The 13,187-nt window shown below is 58.2% G+C and overlaps 2 protein-coding genes and 1 non-coding gene across 14 annotated transcripts, besides 17 other annotated features; all 3 read right to left on the bottom strand.

Moving 5' to 3' along the window:
* Positions 90-9,448, bottom strand: HMGA1 (high mobility group AT-hook 1). 12 transcript variants are annotated; one of them, NM_001319082.2, is made up of 6 exons: positions 9,338-9,448; positions 9,004-9,117; positions 5,406-5,584; positions 3,526-3,609; positions 2,803-2,853; positions 90-1,490 (listed from the first exon to the last, which is right to left on the bottom strand). In NM_001319082.2, exons 3-6 carry the CDS (start codon positions 5,538-5,540, stop codon positions 1,437-1,439), a joined length of 324 nt encoding a protein of 107 aa, NP_001306011.1. In that variant the 5' UTR covers positions 5,541-5,584; positions 9,004-9,117; positions 9,338-9,448; the 3' UTR covers positions 90-1,436. The 12 variants fall into 12 exon arrangements, with proteins under 12 accessions (NP_001306011.1, NP_665906.1, NP_001306009.1 ...); NM_145899.3 differs by having other exon boundaries at positions 9,358-9,448; NM_001319080.2 differs by having other exon boundaries at positions 3,526-3,606; positions 9,358-9,448.
* Positions 1,554-1,698: an enhancer, noted in NCBI's record as "145 bp enhancer 296 fragment used in the MPRA reporter construct; PK_construct_3398". NCBI's record gives its function as "activates an SV40 promoter by MPRA in HepG2 cells {active_cell/tissue: HepG2}" and the evidence as "EXISTENCE:reporter gene assay evidence [ECO:0000049][PMID:23512712]".
* Positions 1,621-1,631: a transcriptional cis regulatory region, noted in NCBI's record as "NFE2L2 motif; enhancer activity is reduced when this motif is scrambled". NCBI's record gives its function as "necessary for full MPRA enhancer 296 activity {active_cell/tissue: HepG2}" and the evidence as "EXISTENCE:site-directed mutagenesis evidence [ECO:0005528][PMID:23512712]".
* Positions 1,796-2,995: an enhancer, noted in NCBI's record as "P300/CBP strongly-dependent group 1 enhancer chr6:34211103-34212302 (GRCh37/hg19 assembly coordinates)". NCBI's record gives its function as "activates an origin of replication core promoter dependent on BRD2, BRD4, P300/CBP, MED14 and CDK7 cofactors, with strong dependence on P300/CBP, by STARR-seq in HCT116 cells {active_cell/tissue: HCT116}" and the evidence as "EXISTENCE:reporter gene assay evidence [ECO:0000049][PMID:35650434]".
* Positions 1,803-2,643: an enhancer, noted in NCBI's record as "H3K27ac-H3K4me1 hESC enhancer chr6:34211455-34212295 (GRCh37/hg19 assembly coordinates)". NCBI's record gives its function as "activates a minimal SCP1, AML or CMV promoter by ChIP-STARR-seq in naive H9 embryonic stem cells {active_cell/tissue: H9 hESC(naive)}" and the evidence as "EXISTENCE:reporter gene assay evidence [ECO:0000049][PMID:30033119]".
* On the bottom strand, positions 5,585-5,648 carry MIR6835 (microRNA 6835). Its single transcript, NR_106893.1, has one exon. It is a non-coding gene; the product is annotated as a microRNA 6835 (primary transcript).
* On the bottom strand, positions 7,941-10,075 carry LOC124901225 (translation initiation factor IF-2-like). Its single transcript, XM_047419608.1, has 5 exons — positions 10,065-10,075; positions 9,591-9,746; positions 9,358-9,439; positions 9,004-9,117; positions 7,941-8,906 (listed from the first exon to the last, which is right to left on the bottom strand). Exons 1-5 carry the CDS (start codon positions 10,073-10,075, stop codon positions 7,941-7,943), a joined length of 1,329 nt encoding a protein of 442 aa, XP_047275564.1.
* Positions 8,037-8,276: a silencer, noted in NCBI's record as "silent region_17069". NCBI's record gives its function as "represses an Ori minimal core promoter by ATAC-STARR-seq in GM12878 lymphoblastoid cells {active_cell/tissue: GM12878}" and the evidence as "EXISTENCE:reporter gene assay evidence [ECO:0000049][PMID:35858748]".
* Positions 8,467-8,756: a silencer, noted in NCBI's record as "silent region_17068". NCBI's record gives its function as "represses an Ori minimal core promoter by ATAC-STARR-seq in GM12878 lymphoblastoid cells {active_cell/tissue: GM12878}" and the evidence as "EXISTENCE:reporter gene assay evidence [ECO:0000049][PMID:35858748]".
* Positions 8,977-9,126: a silencer, noted in NCBI's record as "silent region_17067". NCBI's record gives its function as "represses an Ori minimal core promoter by ATAC-STARR-seq in GM12878 lymphoblastoid cells {active_cell/tissue: GM12878}" and the evidence as "EXISTENCE:reporter gene assay evidence [ECO:0000049][PMID:35858748]".
* Positions 9,377-9,636: a silencer, noted in NCBI's record as "silent region_17066". NCBI's record gives its function as "represses an Ori minimal core promoter by ATAC-STARR-seq in GM12878 lymphoblastoid cells {active_cell/tissue: GM12878}" and the evidence as "EXISTENCE:reporter gene assay evidence [ECO:0000049][PMID:35858748]".
* Positions 9,377-10,135: a biological region, named in NCBI's record as "NANOG-H3K27ac-H3K4me1 hESC enhancer GRCh37_chr6:34203963-34204584".
* Positions 9,514-10,135: an enhancer, noted in NCBI's record as "NANOG-H3K27ac-H3K4me1 hESC enhancer chr6:34203963-34204584 (GRCh37/hg19 assembly coordinates)". NCBI's record gives its function as "activates a minimal SCP1, AML or CMV promoter by ChIP-STARR-seq in naive and primed H9 embryonic stem cells {active_cell/tissue: H9 hESC(naive and primed)}" and the evidence as "EXISTENCE:reporter gene assay evidence [ECO:0000049][PMID:30033119]".
* Positions 9,647-9,936: a silencer, noted in NCBI's record as "silent region_17065". NCBI's record gives its function as "represses an Ori minimal core promoter by ATAC-STARR-seq in GM12878 lymphoblastoid cells {active_cell/tissue: GM12878}" and the evidence as "EXISTENCE:reporter gene assay evidence [ECO:0000049][PMID:35858748]".
* Positions 10,136-10,759: an enhancer, noted in NCBI's record as "NANOG-H3K27ac-H3K4me1 hESC enhancer chr6:34203339-34203962 (GRCh37/hg19 assembly coordinates)". NCBI's record gives its function as "activates a minimal SCP1, AML or CMV promoter by ChIP-STARR-seq in naive H9 embryonic stem cells {active_cell/tissue: H9 hESC(naive)}" and the evidence as "EXISTENCE:reporter gene assay evidence [ECO:0000049][PMID:30033119]".
* Positions 10,287-10,536: a silencer, noted in NCBI's record as "silent region_17064". NCBI's record gives its function as "represses an Ori minimal core promoter by ATAC-STARR-seq in GM12878 lymphoblastoid cells {active_cell/tissue: GM12878}" and the evidence as "EXISTENCE:reporter gene assay evidence [ECO:0000049][PMID:35858748]".
* Positions 10,617-10,666: a silencer, noted in NCBI's record as "silent region_17063". NCBI's record gives its function as "represses an Ori minimal core promoter by ATAC-STARR-seq in GM12878 lymphoblastoid cells {active_cell/tissue: GM12878}" and the evidence as "EXISTENCE:reporter gene assay evidence [ECO:0000049][PMID:35858748]".
* Positions 10,760-11,383: an enhancer, noted in NCBI's record as "NANOG-H3K27ac-H3K4me1 hESC enhancer chr6:34202715-34203338 (GRCh37/hg19 assembly coordinates)". NCBI's record gives its function as "activates a minimal SCP1, AML or CMV promoter by ChIP-STARR-seq in primed H9 embryonic stem cells {active_cell/tissue: H9 hESC(primed)}" and the evidence as "EXISTENCE:reporter gene assay evidence [ECO:0000049][PMID:30033119]".
* Positions 10,847-10,936: a silencer, noted in NCBI's record as "silent region_17062". NCBI's record gives its function as "represses an Ori minimal core promoter by ATAC-STARR-seq in GM12878 lymphoblastoid cells {active_cell/tissue: GM12878}" and the evidence as "EXISTENCE:reporter gene assay evidence [ECO:0000049][PMID:35858748]".
* Positions 11,384-12,007: an enhancer, noted in NCBI's record as "NANOG-H3K27ac-H3K4me1 hESC enhancer chr6:34202091-34202714 (GRCh37/hg19 assembly coordinates)". NCBI's record gives its function as "activates a minimal SCP1, AML or CMV promoter by ChIP-STARR-seq in naive H9 embryonic stem cells {active_cell/tissue: H9 hESC(naive)}" and the evidence as "EXISTENCE:reporter gene assay evidence [ECO:0000049][PMID:30033119]".

Genomic DNA, 13,187 nt, shown 5'->3' with positions numbered 1-13,187 from the left:
CTGCAGCCTGAAGGATGGGGGCCAGAACACAAGTGTCACCCATCCTACCTGCCCCAGGCTTTAGGGGCACACACCACAGGAGACTCCAGTCCAGAAAAGGATATTTTTTTTATTCAAGTAACTGCAAATAGGAAACCAGAGAGGGAGCCCCAGGCTGGGACAAATCATGGCTACCCCTCCCCAACAGAACAGGGGGAGGAGGTGGCCCCTACACCCTTTATGGTCGATTTGGGCCCCCTTGCTCACTCTGCTGCAGCATCCTAGGGGCAGGGCCCCACCTTCCCTGGGACTGGGGTAGTCGGTCACCCAGCCTGCCATGCCCCAGCCCCTCTTCCCCACAAAGAGTATCTTGGGGGAGGGGATCGTGGGCAGAACAGGAGGCAATGAGGATGAACATTTGGCGCTGGTAGCAGCAGCAATGACGGATGTCGAAGAATGGAACATTGAACAAAAAACAACACAACTGTCCAGAGGTAGTTTGTGAACAGAGGAAAAATGGAACCAGAACCTTGGGGGGCAGGGAGGAGCAGGAGGGGGGTTGGGAGCGGGCAGGGTGAGCTCCTTGTTATTGGTGCCCCATCTGAGGAGGGGGAAATGGCTGAGTGGCGGAAGCAAAGTAGGGTTAGGGGAGCAGCCCCAGCCCACCTCAGGTGGCGGCCACAGGGCTCTTGGGCCTCACCTGGACAATAAGTGACTGCATCTCCATCACCACAATATGTACTCAGATCCCAGGCGGAGGGCAAGGGGGCTGTGGCCACAGTGAAGAGGGAGTAGGGGACTCACCCCTCCTGCCTTCCTGTAACCGAAGGGGGCTGTCCAACCTAGTACGGGGACTAGGGAAGTTGGGGAAGGATGAAAAGTGAGCCCCACGTGGTGACAAAGACAGTTTGGCTGGGGGAATCCTGGGGGCCAGCACCCCCCTCCATTGGCCACACCTGCTGCTGCCAGGGCAGTGGAGTAGGGCGTGCCAGGATGAGATGGGGCTTGGGCCCCTTTTAAGGCCAGGGGAACCCTCCCAGGCCCCACTATGGGAAGCCAGAGGGAACAGTGAAGGAGCAGAGAGGGCGCCCCCAAACCAAAAGCCCAGAGAGCAATGTCCCCACCACCAAGGGAGTGGGGACGCAGCAGGTGCAGGGTGCGGCTAAGTGGGATGTTAGCCTTGTCCAGGAGGGCATGTGTGTATGCGTGGGTGGGCGGGGGGAGCTGGGAACTGAGGCCAGGGGAAAACTGCTCCCCACTCAGCCCATGGGAGCCCTGCAGCGGCTGGTGTGCTGTGTAGTGTGGTGGTGAGGGCACAGGTGGAAGATGGGGGTGGCGGCCAGAGGCGGTGGTGATGGTGGGCCTGGGGAAGGGGTGGGGGCGGTGGGAGCGGAGCAAAGCTGTCCAGTCCCAGAAGGAAGCTGCTCCTCCAGTGAGGAGCAGGCGGCACGCATGGGTCACTGCTCCTCCTCCGAGGACTCCTGCGAGATGCCCTCCTCTTCCTCCTTCTCCTGTGAGGTGGGCAGTTGTTGGTGTGAGCTCTGGCCCGGTCCCCCTCTTCCACCCCCAGAGGCTGGCCCCACCCGCTCCCTGCACTCCCTGGCTCTCCTGAAGAGGGATGAGTCAGGGCTGAGTGTGTGGGTGACTCAGCAACCTCCACGGCCCGGCTTCATTCATAAAAAGAATTTAAAAGGAGGAAAAAACCCCACACACATGCTGCTCTCACCCAGAGCCAGGAGCCAAGCCCCCTTGGCCCCCAGGCCCAGGGAGGGCAGGAGGGCAGAGCTCAGGGCAGCAATGAGCTTCAGGATGTGACTGACTCCCTAGGGGAGAAGAGGAGGTGGGGGAAGAGGTGGCTGGGGGAGGAAATGGGAAGGGGTGGCTGGAAGGTGCAAGAGCCCGCTGGTGGGTGCAGGGGAACCAGGTCCTTGGCCCACAGGGGCAGATGCTGTGCTGTGGTGCCCTGGCCCTCCGGGGTGGCCGAGGGCTGACCCTAGGCCGGGGTGGGGAGGAAGGGGAAGTGTGTGCCGCCGGGGCTCACTCACTGGGCGGGAATGTCGGGACACCACACGGGGCTACAGCCCCCGTGCCAGGCACAAACTCCAAAACAACTTGTTTCCTGTTACTCACTCTTGGGGCCTGGCCAGCAGCACCCCCTAACCCCCCCACCCCAGCAGTGGCTCAGCTCAAGGAATGACAGCTTCAGGGATTTGAGGGGGCAGGCTGGGGGTAGGAGAGGGCCAGGAGCTGGAAGGCTGGGGTGACCCTAACTGCAGTGGCCCCCTAGAGGCAGCTTCTTGACTCAGCCCACCGAGCCTTTCCACCAGCTGTTTGGGGACCCAGAATTGGATGGTGCCCTCCAGTGCAGTGTGGTGGGTCACATCAGAACTCCAGCACCGACCCCTCCCAGGGCCCAGCTCCTTCGCTGTTTCTCTTCTGCAGAGGCTCATAGGAAGGACAAACCTTCCCCCTATGGCTTCCTTTCCTCATCTCTAATTGAGGGGGACACAGGCTAGATGACTTCCAAGATCTCCCCTAGAAGTTCTGAGTATTCTAGGAGCAGGAGAGGGAGGGACCCCCACACACAACTAGGGCAGGGCAGGGCAGGGGGATGTGGTCTGATTTATACCTGGGACCCCTCACTTCTCATGGGCACAGCCCAGGCCAGGTACCTTCCCCTCTCTGGACTTCTGTAAAATCTGATGTCCCAGCAGGTCAAGGAGAGCCTTTCCATAGGGGGTGCATAGCATCAGGTACTGTGTACTCAACACCCTCAACTCAAAAGAGCCCAGGAGGCAAGCAGCAGTCTGCTTCTTCACCTACCAGTTTTTTGGGTCTGCCCCTTGGTTTCCTTCCTGGAGTTGTGGTGGTTTTCTAGAGGGTTAGAGAAAATATCTCCTAAGTCCAAAATGCTCATCAGTGCTCACCCGATGCCCAATAGTGATGGGGGGCAGACCTACCTGCCTGTTCAGGGTGACCCAACACTCTCACCCAACAGGCCCACCCAAGTCCAGCTGGCAATGACTGGCCAGCCACATTTGCCCCCTCGACATACACACACGCCCCCTACTCCCACCTCCGCCCATGACTCAGAGGATATGAGTCGTGTCTTAGAAAAAATAAAATAAAAAACAAAACAACTTTTCTGAAAGGCTAATGTCACTGTGAATCTGGCCTTTGCTGCCTGTCCCCACCCCTTCAGGCTCCAGGGAACCCCAAGAGAAGGTAACATTCTCAGCCCAGGGACTGGCAGGGACCCTCCATTCTCCCCACTCTGCCCTTCTCTAGATCAGGAAAGCTGTGGGACTTCTGACCTGATCTCCGCAGTGTCCTGGGCAGGACCAACCCCCCAGAAGTAAGACCTTAGTCATCGCCCCACTCTCCCCAGTTAGCAAAGACTCACTGCCATCCCTGTACCAGGGAAGGGGGTACACAACTGAGATGACTGAGCCCCTTCCCAGACCTCCCCACAGCCGTGGCCATGGTGCCAACAAGAGGATCCTCTGCTAGTCATCCACCCAGGGGTAGTCCCATCTCAAGTCTCACCCGGGTCTTGGCAGCACCCTTGTTTTTGCTTCCCTTTGGTCGGCCCCGAGGTCTCTTAGGTGTTGGCACTTCGCTGGGCTCCTTCTGTAAAGACAGAGGGGGTAGTCAGGGACAGTCATCACCTGTTTCCACCCCCTCAGAAGACACAGCCCTCTGCCTCCTCAACAAGGTTAAGTCAGCAAGAACCAAGAACCACAAACCATCCCTGACCTAGGAATCCCTTCAGGATCCAAAGCTCCAGTTTGAGCATCTTTGCAAAGTGCCTCCCACCTCTCCCCTTGCTTCCCTGCAGGTTTCTAAGATGCAAAATGACAAGAGCCCAGAAGACCCCTAGGAAAGGCATTCTGGGGACAGAAAGACAGTTAGGTGGCTCTGCCCAAGTCTCAGTTCTGACACTTATCTTGGGTGGGACACTTAATGCTGGAGCCTCAGTTTCCTCATCTATAAATGGTGAAGACTTCCCTTGCAGGGTGTCATGGAGATTAAATGGGTAATGTATGGTTATCTAGCACTGGGCCATGATCACTGCCCACCCTCTCAGATGACCTATGCTGGACACACACTCCCTGCCTGCACTTGCAAACCTGGAGCCCATCCAGGCTGCCCCCAGAGAAGGGGAATTATAGCCGGACTCCAGAGATCCCTGCCATCATTCCCACTGAAATTTTAATAAGCCGTAGATAGAATAAAAAGCTGCTGCATAATGCATATAAGGTGTGTGGTGAAGGCGCGCCAGCTACTGTTTCCTAGGGGGCCGCCCATGGTCTGTCTATAACCAGGGTCCAGTAACCCTGCACCCCTCCTGACACCTCCCACTGACCATGGCTAACAGGTGGGGTAGGAGGGGAGGCTGAGGGAGCTAGGCTAAGAGGACAAATGACCCCACCCCAGGCTCTGAATTCCAACACAGCAGACTCCTCACAGCTCGTGTCTCCCTGGGCCCAGGTCAGCACAGACCACTCTCCACCGTACGGACAGGGAAAACCTGCAGGTGAACAACCTGTATCATGTTTAAGGGGCAGAGGTCGAACTCAACTCCTCTTACCTCTCTCCCAGGGAAGGGAAGTAACTGGGCTTCACCAACAGCCACCCTTCACTTGGGTGACAGCTGCCTCTGTAAGAGGCCAATATGGGGTCCCCCCCATGCCCAAATGGCCATGCTCCCTAGGGTGCCCCACAGCGCCAGGCTGGCAGCCTCATCCTTCTATGAGGACTTTGTGGGGAGAGCAGCACCAGGGTTCTGAGGGTCACTGCCACCAACTCCCCAACATTTTTGACTTCTTGGGCTTCAATTTCCATCTAAAGAGCCAGGGGCAATGCCCATTCCAGAACTACTCATAACTGGCCTGTGCACAAACAGGTGCTGGCCCACGCAGGCACCCGTTTCTCACCTGGGATGAGGAAGTACAAGAATCGACCATAAGTATTCAGCAACTTTACAGCAAATTGACAAAAATCATTTTACGTGCACTGAATCTAATGATTAAAAACCCTGGGCTTCTATGTTCATTTTTGTTCATTCGTCTTTACTGCATTTTAAAATTACTGGTCCACAGTGGATTGGAAATTAAGAAAAAGGCGAGTGTTTTAAGCACTGGCCATGTGACCTCTGGGGTGCTTTAGGTTTGGACTGTTTGCCATTGGCTTCAGAATTTATCTTGAATTCCTCGGCCCCCGGTTCTCTCCTGGGGTCTCTATAGAGATCTGACCAGGGTTGCAAGTGGGGCAGGAGTACACACAGGTGGGAGGACACACCCACACGCTTACTGCGCAGAATCATTCTGCACCCTCCATGCATGGTCTCGCCTGCTGAATGAAACTCCAGGCACCTCCCTAGCCCCAAAGGGTAAACCAAGTGAAGCAAAGGTTTGGACACCCACCTGACTCCCTACCAGCGCTGTCCCGGGACTCACCGGAGGCTGCTTGCGCGGCCTGCCCCGGCCCCGCTTCTCAGTGCCGTCCTTTTCCTGCTTGGAGGCCAAGGGCTGGCTGGACTTCGAGCTCGACTCACTCATCTTCCCTTCTCTAAGGAGCAGGTGGAAGAGTGATGGCTGGGATGCTGGGAGACAGAAAAGTGCTTTTAGACAAACATCTCGCTTCAGCCACTTTCTACCCCCTCATCACCCACACCTTCAAGGCACACTGCAGAAAACTGTGCTCCCATGGGCCCCCAGGCCTCCTACTCTGCCCAGGATGGAGGGGTCTGCCCACCCCCAGATGCTGCCAAGGGCGGGGAAGGGCCGTTGGCCCTAATCAGCTTCTTATCTATCTCCTGTTCAGAAGGGCTCTTTGTTGTCCTGCCTTAACACCGCCCCAGTGCAGCGTGGTGGGGGGGGTCCCAGGAGGTACAGCCAGCCCAGACCTAGCTACATGGGTGAGGCCACCCTGGGACAAAGGTGTGGGGAGGTGAGATCTGACGTATTGCCAGCATCCCCTCCTTCTGTAGTCAACTGCTGCCCTTTCTCTTTAAGAGAAAATCCAGCCTACGCAGTTCAGTGGGAAAATGGAAAGAATGAGACCTTGCGATCTGGCAGCTATGGACATTGATCCCCTGCCCACCTCACTGACAATATTGCCTATCTGGCAAGGTGCAAGACTCAGGACCAAAAAGAGCCAATCACACAGCCAGGGGTGGTGCCCACCACCAGCTCTCTTCTCTGTTCTCACCCAGGGTAAATCCCTGGAGAATTCAGATTGGTATAATTGAGGGAGGGAGGAGATGGTTGAAGCTAGTGGGTGAGGTGGGGGAGGAAAGTGAGCCCAAAGCCAAAGGCCACCCTCCTCTTTCCCCTTACCCCTCCTCTGCCCAACTGGAGTCAGATGGGACTTTGTCAGATGGGTAGGGAATTCTCCAACTGAAATGCACCGCCTAACAGACCCTGGCTGGCCCTCATCCTTTAGGATGAGGTTTAGGGCTCATCCTAAAACCTTCTTGGTCATTTTCTAGCATCTTCCTTCTTCTTAGAGGCCTGTTGGGGTTTAATTAACCCCATCAATTTTGAGTTTTCCTAAAACTTCTCATTGGAAGGAGGGCCTGCAACCTGTATTTGGGAATACCCTGTATTACAGGCTTAAAAAGGACAGTCCTCCACATCTTCATCCTAGTCCTTATCCCCAGGCTACAGATGGATGAGACGCCGGAGGCCTAGGCTACACATTTTTCCAGTAACCAATCCCTGCCTGCCATGGTAAGGGGTGGGACAAGCGGCTCCACTTCTGAACCCCTCTCAATCTGTAAGATCAAGGTAATTATAAGGTACCTGCCTGAACTACCTCCTGACTGCTTCAAGGATCAAACTAGGTAATAGTTTAGAAAAACTTAAAATAATAGAAAGAAATCTTCACTCTAACCAAAATAAGAACTAGACCATTTGAAAATGATTTATGGGCCAGGTGAGGTGACTCATGCCTGTAATCCCAGCACTTTGGGATGCCAAAGCAGGAGGACTGCTTGAGGTCAGGAGTTCGAGACCAGCCTGGACAATACGGTGGGACTCCCATGTCTAATTTAAAAGAAAAAAAAAAAAGAAGAAAAAGAGTTTTTACCCCAATGAGAGGAAAAAAACATTTTTGCAAACTTGTGATTTCTAGAGGGCCCAGGACCTCCATTTTCAAGCATCAAGAGACCCTCCAGACAGCAGGACTTTGGTAATTATTCTATCTTATAATGTTTCAGACTTGGAGACCCTTTTAAACAAGGTGGTTGGTGATTTATCCTGCTCCGTCATTAGTGGCTTGGCCTGCTCTGCAATTACAGGCAGTGATTAGAATCTTATATTACACCACAGGTCCCCCTTCAAACTAAACATCAAAATTAATCAACTAAACGAGTGCTGACCTCATATAAGGTCTGCCTGGGGCCCCCTCATCGAGGGGGTTCCAGTTGGGCGAAGCCAGTCCGGAATCCCAGAGAGCCTGGCCCGGCCTGCCTGGAGATCTTGGCGGGTCTCCCTGGAAGCTCTCATACCATCTGGTGCCTCCCCCCACCTCTTGCTGCTGGGGACCCTTTAATCCCCTCAGCCAACCCCCCACGAACTAAATGAAGGCCCGAGGCCCTTTCCAGTGAGGCCAAGAAACGTTCGTCTTTTCCACCTGTTTCTGAACATCAGAGGCCTGTCTTGGAGGAACTACATTTAGGGCCTAACCCCAATCCCTCACTTTGTAATAAGCCCGCTTGGGCCTCAAGCCTGTCTCCTCCATACACTGTGCATGCAAACTGTGCTCCTCAAATACTTAAGGACTCTGCAGGAAAGGCCCTAGGAAATTATCTTGGGGGTTCCCTTGTTTTCTTCCCCGTCCCCCGTAAAAAAGTAGCCCAGAGAAGCCTTGAGTTGCCTAAGGTCACACAGCAAGTTGGCGAGCAGGAAGAAGTAGGTTCCCGGAGACCCTTTCAACCCGACACTTTGCCTACCCGCCTAGCGGCTAGGGCTAAACCCCCGAGGCATCAGGCTCCAGACCCGGCCCGAGGGTGACTCTGCAAGTGTCTGCGCCCGGCCGTTGCAGGCCGGCCGGCGGGACCCGGGGCCAGGGCGCGCGGGGGGAGGGGCGCAGGCCGCTCCTGCAGGCGCGGGAAAGCAGCGCACCCCGACCGCATGCACCGCCACGCGGGTGCACCCGGCCCCACTTCCTGCCAGAGGGGGCACCCAAGCCCGCCTTGGGGCAGGAAACCTGGCGCGCGCGGGCGCGGGGGAGAGGAAGAAAGCCCCCTCCCTCCGTCCCCTCCCCGCAAAATAAAGCCCCAGAAGAAAATAAAATAGAAACGGGGAGTCAAAGGGACTAGTTCCAACAGAGCCCAGCAAAGCAGCGAAACCAGTTTGTGGGGGCGGAGGGCAGGCCCGGCCCCTGGGGCTGAAGAGGCGCGGGCCAGGCCAGAGGTGGGGTCGGGGTGAAGCCCCAAACCCAGGCCCGCGCTCCGGCCTCATCTGCGGAGGGGGCGCGAGAGAAAGGCCGAGAGGGCGTAGGGCCGAATTTGGGGGTTCCTCCCCATCTCCCTCACTTCCAGAACTTCCCTGAGCTGCGGGGGGCGCCCGACCCCCCACTCTCCTGCCGCGCCGCAGCCCGTGTCTCTCCCCGCCCCTCACCCGGGCCCGGGCTCGGGCTCGGGCTCCGGCTCCAGCGGGAGCGGCCGCCGCGCGAGGTGCGCCGGGCTCCTCCGGGCTCCGCCGGGTGCACAACTCGCGCTCGCCGCAGCTGCGCGCCCCCTCCCCCACCGCGCGCCTTTCCCGGGTCCCCGCCCCCCGCAGGGCGCCCGCGGCGCGGGGGAAGGGGTGCGGGCGTCCTCCCCGCGCCGCCGGGCCCCGCCGCCCGCCCCCGCGCCGCGCGGCCCTCCCCCGCCGCCGGCTCGCGCCGCCCCGGCCTGGGAATAAAGCCGGCGGCGCGCGCTGCAGCCCCGGGCGGCTCGCAGGAGGGGCGACGTGCGGGCGGGGGCGCGGGCGCCCCCCTCCGCCGCCGCCGCCGCGGGCCCCGGGGACGACTCACCGCGAGCTCGGCCGCCGGCCTGCGGTGCGCGCTCCGGGTTGCCGGGAGCGGCGGTGCTGGGCGCTGAGGACCGGCCTGGCTCCGCCGCGGCCGCCGCTGGTAGCAAATGCGGATCTGAAACCGGGAGAGAGCAGAGGCGCTCAGAGACCGCCGCCGCCGCGTGCTCGCCGCCCAGGCCCCCGCGGGGTATTTATGTGTCACAGCCAGGCGGGGGGACAAAAATATTCCCCCTCCCCCGAAGGATGGCGAGGGGCAGGAAGCTGGGCACGGCCCGTGCGCGGCCTCAATAAATAAATAATTTAATTAAATTATAGATATAAAAAAAAGAAGCCACCGGAGCGGCCGCGAACTCACGCCTTCTTGGAGCCGCGCCAGCGCCAGAAATAGCCCCGGCTCGGAGTCCCAATTAGAGGAGCGCAGCACCGGCTCAGGGGAGCTTAAAAAGAGCGACCCAGGGGCAGGGGGGACGGGCCCGCCCGCGCCAGCCGTGTCACTCAGGGGGCGGGGCCATGCAAATGAGCCCGGGGATTTAAAAGGGCGGCCGCCCGCCAGCCGCCGCCGCCGCTGCCGCGCGGGTGGGTGCTGACGGCAGGGAGGGGCGTGTGGGAGGCCTGGGCTGCGAACTCGAGTCGACCGCCCACTCCTCGCAGTCCCGGACGGAGGAGGTGTGGGAAGGCACGCGCAGAGGAGTCACGAAGGAGCTTCTGGCGGGGGGTGGTGACGGGTGGCGGTATCCTTCCTCCCTGGTACAGGGGTCCCAGGGAGAGTCACCTCTAGGGGCTTCCAGGGCGTGTGGGCCCGGCCCCCCCCCCAGGGCGTGTGGGGGTGGACGGGGGTCCACGCGGGCCCAGGGGGTGAAGAGAAACGCGCTCGTTAGAGAATTCCGCGGCCTACACGCCGCCCCCTAACTAAAATAGAGAGATGGTAGATTTCCCCTGGGCGGACAGGTGTCAGCATGTGCCTTTCAGTGTCAACCCGCGTGTGGCTGATTGGTGAGATACAAGTCTTGTGAAATTCAAACGTGAAACTTGTGAAATCCAAAGTGTTTTATTAATGGCCACCAGCGAGCCATGATCAAGGTGGAGCCTTCCAGCGAAACCAACGATTGGCTCGTTGGCAGGTACACCCAAGGGAGGCTTCATACCTTGAGGTGACTTAGATGGTGTTCTGGAGATACGCAGGCCCACTTGGGGACCTGGGCCCTTCCGTTGGGACTGTAAATAAAAATAAAAGGTGGGCCAGAGGTCGCCTGGAAGCGCTTTGAGGGCAGGGGCCGAGCACGCAGGCCATCTCCGCCACGCCTGGCCCGCCCGGCGCCCGGCTTAACAAAGACTTGTTGCACCGAGCGAGAAGGAAGCCAAAGGGGAAGATGGCGGGGAGGGCGGTGGGGGAGGAAAGGGCGCAGGCGGAGCGGCGCGCCCTGCAGGCCGGCCCGGGGCCTTCTCGGGCGCACCTCCCGCGCCCGGTCCCCGAGGCGGCCTTCCACACCTCCTGTGATGCAGGGAATTGAAATGCGCTCCAGTGACACACGGCTGTGACTCATGTTTTTCTCTGCTCCCCTTCTTCCTCCCCGGTCAGCCGAGGCCCTGGCCCAGCCCCCTCCTCAGGGGGCGAGCCGGCGGTGGAGGGGACGCAGGAAAGCCCTGGGCCCGGCGCGGAGGCGGGGTGGGGAGCGGCGGGCTGGGCCTTGCAGTTGCAGGAATGTGGCAGGAATGTTTCCGGTGGGGGTGGGGAGCGGGCGGGGGGTGGGCCCAGCCCCCACCCGTGCGGCGGGAAGCGCTCGGGGCCCGGGCAGCACGTGCTTGACCGGGTGGGGGCGGGGGCGCCTGGGCGGGAAGGCGCCAGGGGCCGGGAGCGCGGGTTCAAAGGGGAGGGCGCGGGCCTGGGGCCGGCTCGGCCTAGGGGTGGGCCCGGAGGCCGCCCTCTGCGCGCCGGCTCCCCGCCCCACGTCCAGGTGAAACGCAGTTCCTGAGAAGTCCCGGGGCCGCCCTTGGAGGGGAAAGGAAGTCACCAAAGGGCGGCCCGAGGGGAGGGGAGCAGAGGGCGGCGGGGCCCGCGAAGAAGGCTGGGGGAGGGGCGGCCTGCCCCTTTGTCTGGTGGGTGGGGGTGGGGCGGGTGGATCGCGCCGCTCCCTCCATCTTTGTGCCCTGGGCCCGGAGCGCGCGCTTAGTAGGCCGTGAGTGGTGGTGGCTGGAGGGCGTTCGGTTTCGAGCGCGGGAACCTCTGCGGCGTGGCATGGAGGCGCGATTCCTCAGCCTCCAGCACCCCGTCCCAGGTCACAGGCTCCCCGCCAGCACCTTGGGACCCAGGTCTGGGCTCGGGCTGCCCCCCAGAGCCGCGCGCCCCTCCACTTCGCGCTCTCCAAGGCCGCGGAGGCTGCTAGGCCCGGGCACCGGGCTGGCGGCCTGGCGGCTGGGGAGGTGCGGAGAGGGTCCTGTCCGCCCTCTCTCTCGGGTACATCTCTCCCCGTCCGTGTGGGACGTGTGGCCGCCCCTGAGACGGGGAGGGGAGAGGGACTTCCGCCTCGAGTGGGCTGTGGAAAACTTGGCCAACTTTTTGGCCCACTTGTAGCAAGCCGACTCGATCTTATTTTTCCTACTCTTATTTTCCTCTCGGCCTGATTTCCTCAGCGACTTGTTTTTTACCTTGTATTGTGTGTATTTTTGTCAGCCACCTCAAACCCTTTCTGGAAGGAGGCAGGTATAAATAAATTCGTAGGCAAATAAATATAGTAGCTTGTTCCTCTCCAGGATTACCCACACCCTTGAAATCCAAATAACTCTCTACTCACTGACCCCCACCTCCACGCTTTCTGGATTGTCAATGCCCTGAATTCACTGTCTTTCCTTTCTTTCCCCTTTAAATAAGTATTAAGCAGAAGAGCGAGTGGTAGAGATAAAAAGATGGGTAGGATCTAGTCCTTGTCCCAGCGAATTTCACGTCTAGGGAAATCAGAATCAGGCCTGCACTAGAGAAAACTGAATAGCAGTACAGGAGATGCCATGTTAGAAAACATTTCATTCAGTAGTTATTGAGAACCTACTCTGTAGCAGGAACTGGGCCAAATTCTTGGGGTACAATTAATGAACAAAGTCCCCTGCACTCTTGAAACTTGGACCAAGGGGTCAGGCGCTTACAGACTTAGGAGGAAATACAGGAGGAGAGGATGGGAGCCCAGGGTGGTCAGGGAAGTCCTGGAGGAGACGGGCTTGAGCAGGCCTTCGTGAGACTTGGATAGGTGGGTGGCTGAGGAGTTGGGGACAGGGCAAGCAGGAAGAGGGAGCTATTCCAGGCCAAGGACATGGTCAAGGCCCGGGGGGTTGAGTTGGTCGATACCAGAACCCGTCTTCCCCACAGGAAGCATTTTCTGTTATTGGAGTCAGTCTATACAGTTTGCTCAAGGACGACCCAGTGAGCTTCAGTGAACCCAATGGGAATGTCCAGGGAATGGGGAGTTTGAGTCAACTTTATATTTTGGGACGCTGACTCTTAAGCTCATTTTCTAGATGAGTAGGTGAAAAAACTAATGTGGATGGTTCCATTTAGTTCTATTAAGTATTCAGCTTGATGCATTTTCACAAAGTGAACACCTTTGTGTCACCAGCATGCAGACCAAGAAATACAACATCTCCAGTACCCCTGTGTAACCACCATCTCAACTTAAGCAGCGCTTCGTTTCACCTGTTCGTGCACACGTAGGGATATGGAGTCTTACATTATGTATTCTCCTGGGTTAGTTTCCTTTGCTTACCCTTATGTCTGTGAGGTTCATCCATGCTATTGTGTGTGGCTGCAGAATGTTCATTCTCAGGGCTGCTTAGTGATGTGATATGAATGTACCACAATTTTATATCCATTCTGTTGAAGGACATTTGGATAGTTTCTGGCGGGGGGCTATTATGAATAGTGCTGCCATGAATGTTCTAGAATATAGGTGAGTAGATGTGCAAATTTCTGTTGCGTACGTGCCTAGGAGAGGAATTATTGGATCACAGGATGTGTATGCTCAGCTTCAGCAGACGAGCAGGGCACTTCAGAGTGAAAGCGGCACTATTAATACTTATGGCCAGACAACAGGCATAAACCTGACCTGGCCCCTATCAACCAGGACTGACCCAGGCCGGTAGGAGGTGGGGCTACCCTGGTACACAATGTTTGACCACTCTCCTCAAGAGTCACCCAGC

Source organism: Homo sapiens, chromosome 6, assembly GCF_000001405.40.
Source record: "Homo sapiens chromosome 6, GRCh38.p14 Primary Assembly".
In the NCBI taxonomy this organism is placed as follows: domain Eukaryota; kingdom Metazoa; phylum Chordata; class Mammalia; order Primates; family Hominidae; genus Homo; species Homo sapiens.
The sequence above is the reverse complement of the archived record's forward strand: the minus strand, read 5'-3'. Positions and strand labels throughout refer to the sequence as shown.

Excerpts from the sequence above, each read along its gene's own strand:
- LOC124901225 (XM_047419608.1), bottom strand. Across the intron at positions 9,440-9,590 it reads CCCACACGCCCCTCCCTGCC|CTCCCCTGAGCCGGTGCTGC; the intron begins GTCAGCACCCAC and ends GCTCTTTTTAAG. Across the intron at positions 9,118-9,357 it reads TGGCGCGGCTCCAAGAAGGC|ATCCGCATTTGCTACCAGCG; the intron begins GTGAGTTCGCGG and ends TCCCGGTTTCAG.
- HMGA1 (NM_145901.3), bottom strand. The coding sequence starts at position 5,540 with ATGAGTGAGTCGAGCTCGAAGTCCAGCCAGCCCTTGGCCTCCAAGCAG. Across the intron at positions 3,610-5,405 it reads CAGCGCTGGTAGGGAGTCAG|AAGGAGCCCAGCGAAGTGCC; the intron begins GTGGGTGTCCAA and ends CTGTCTTTACAG. Across the intron at positions 2,854-3,525 it reads AGGGTGCTGCCAAGACCCGG|AAAACCACCACAACTCCAGG; the intron begins GTGAGACTTGAG and ends CTAACCCTCTAG.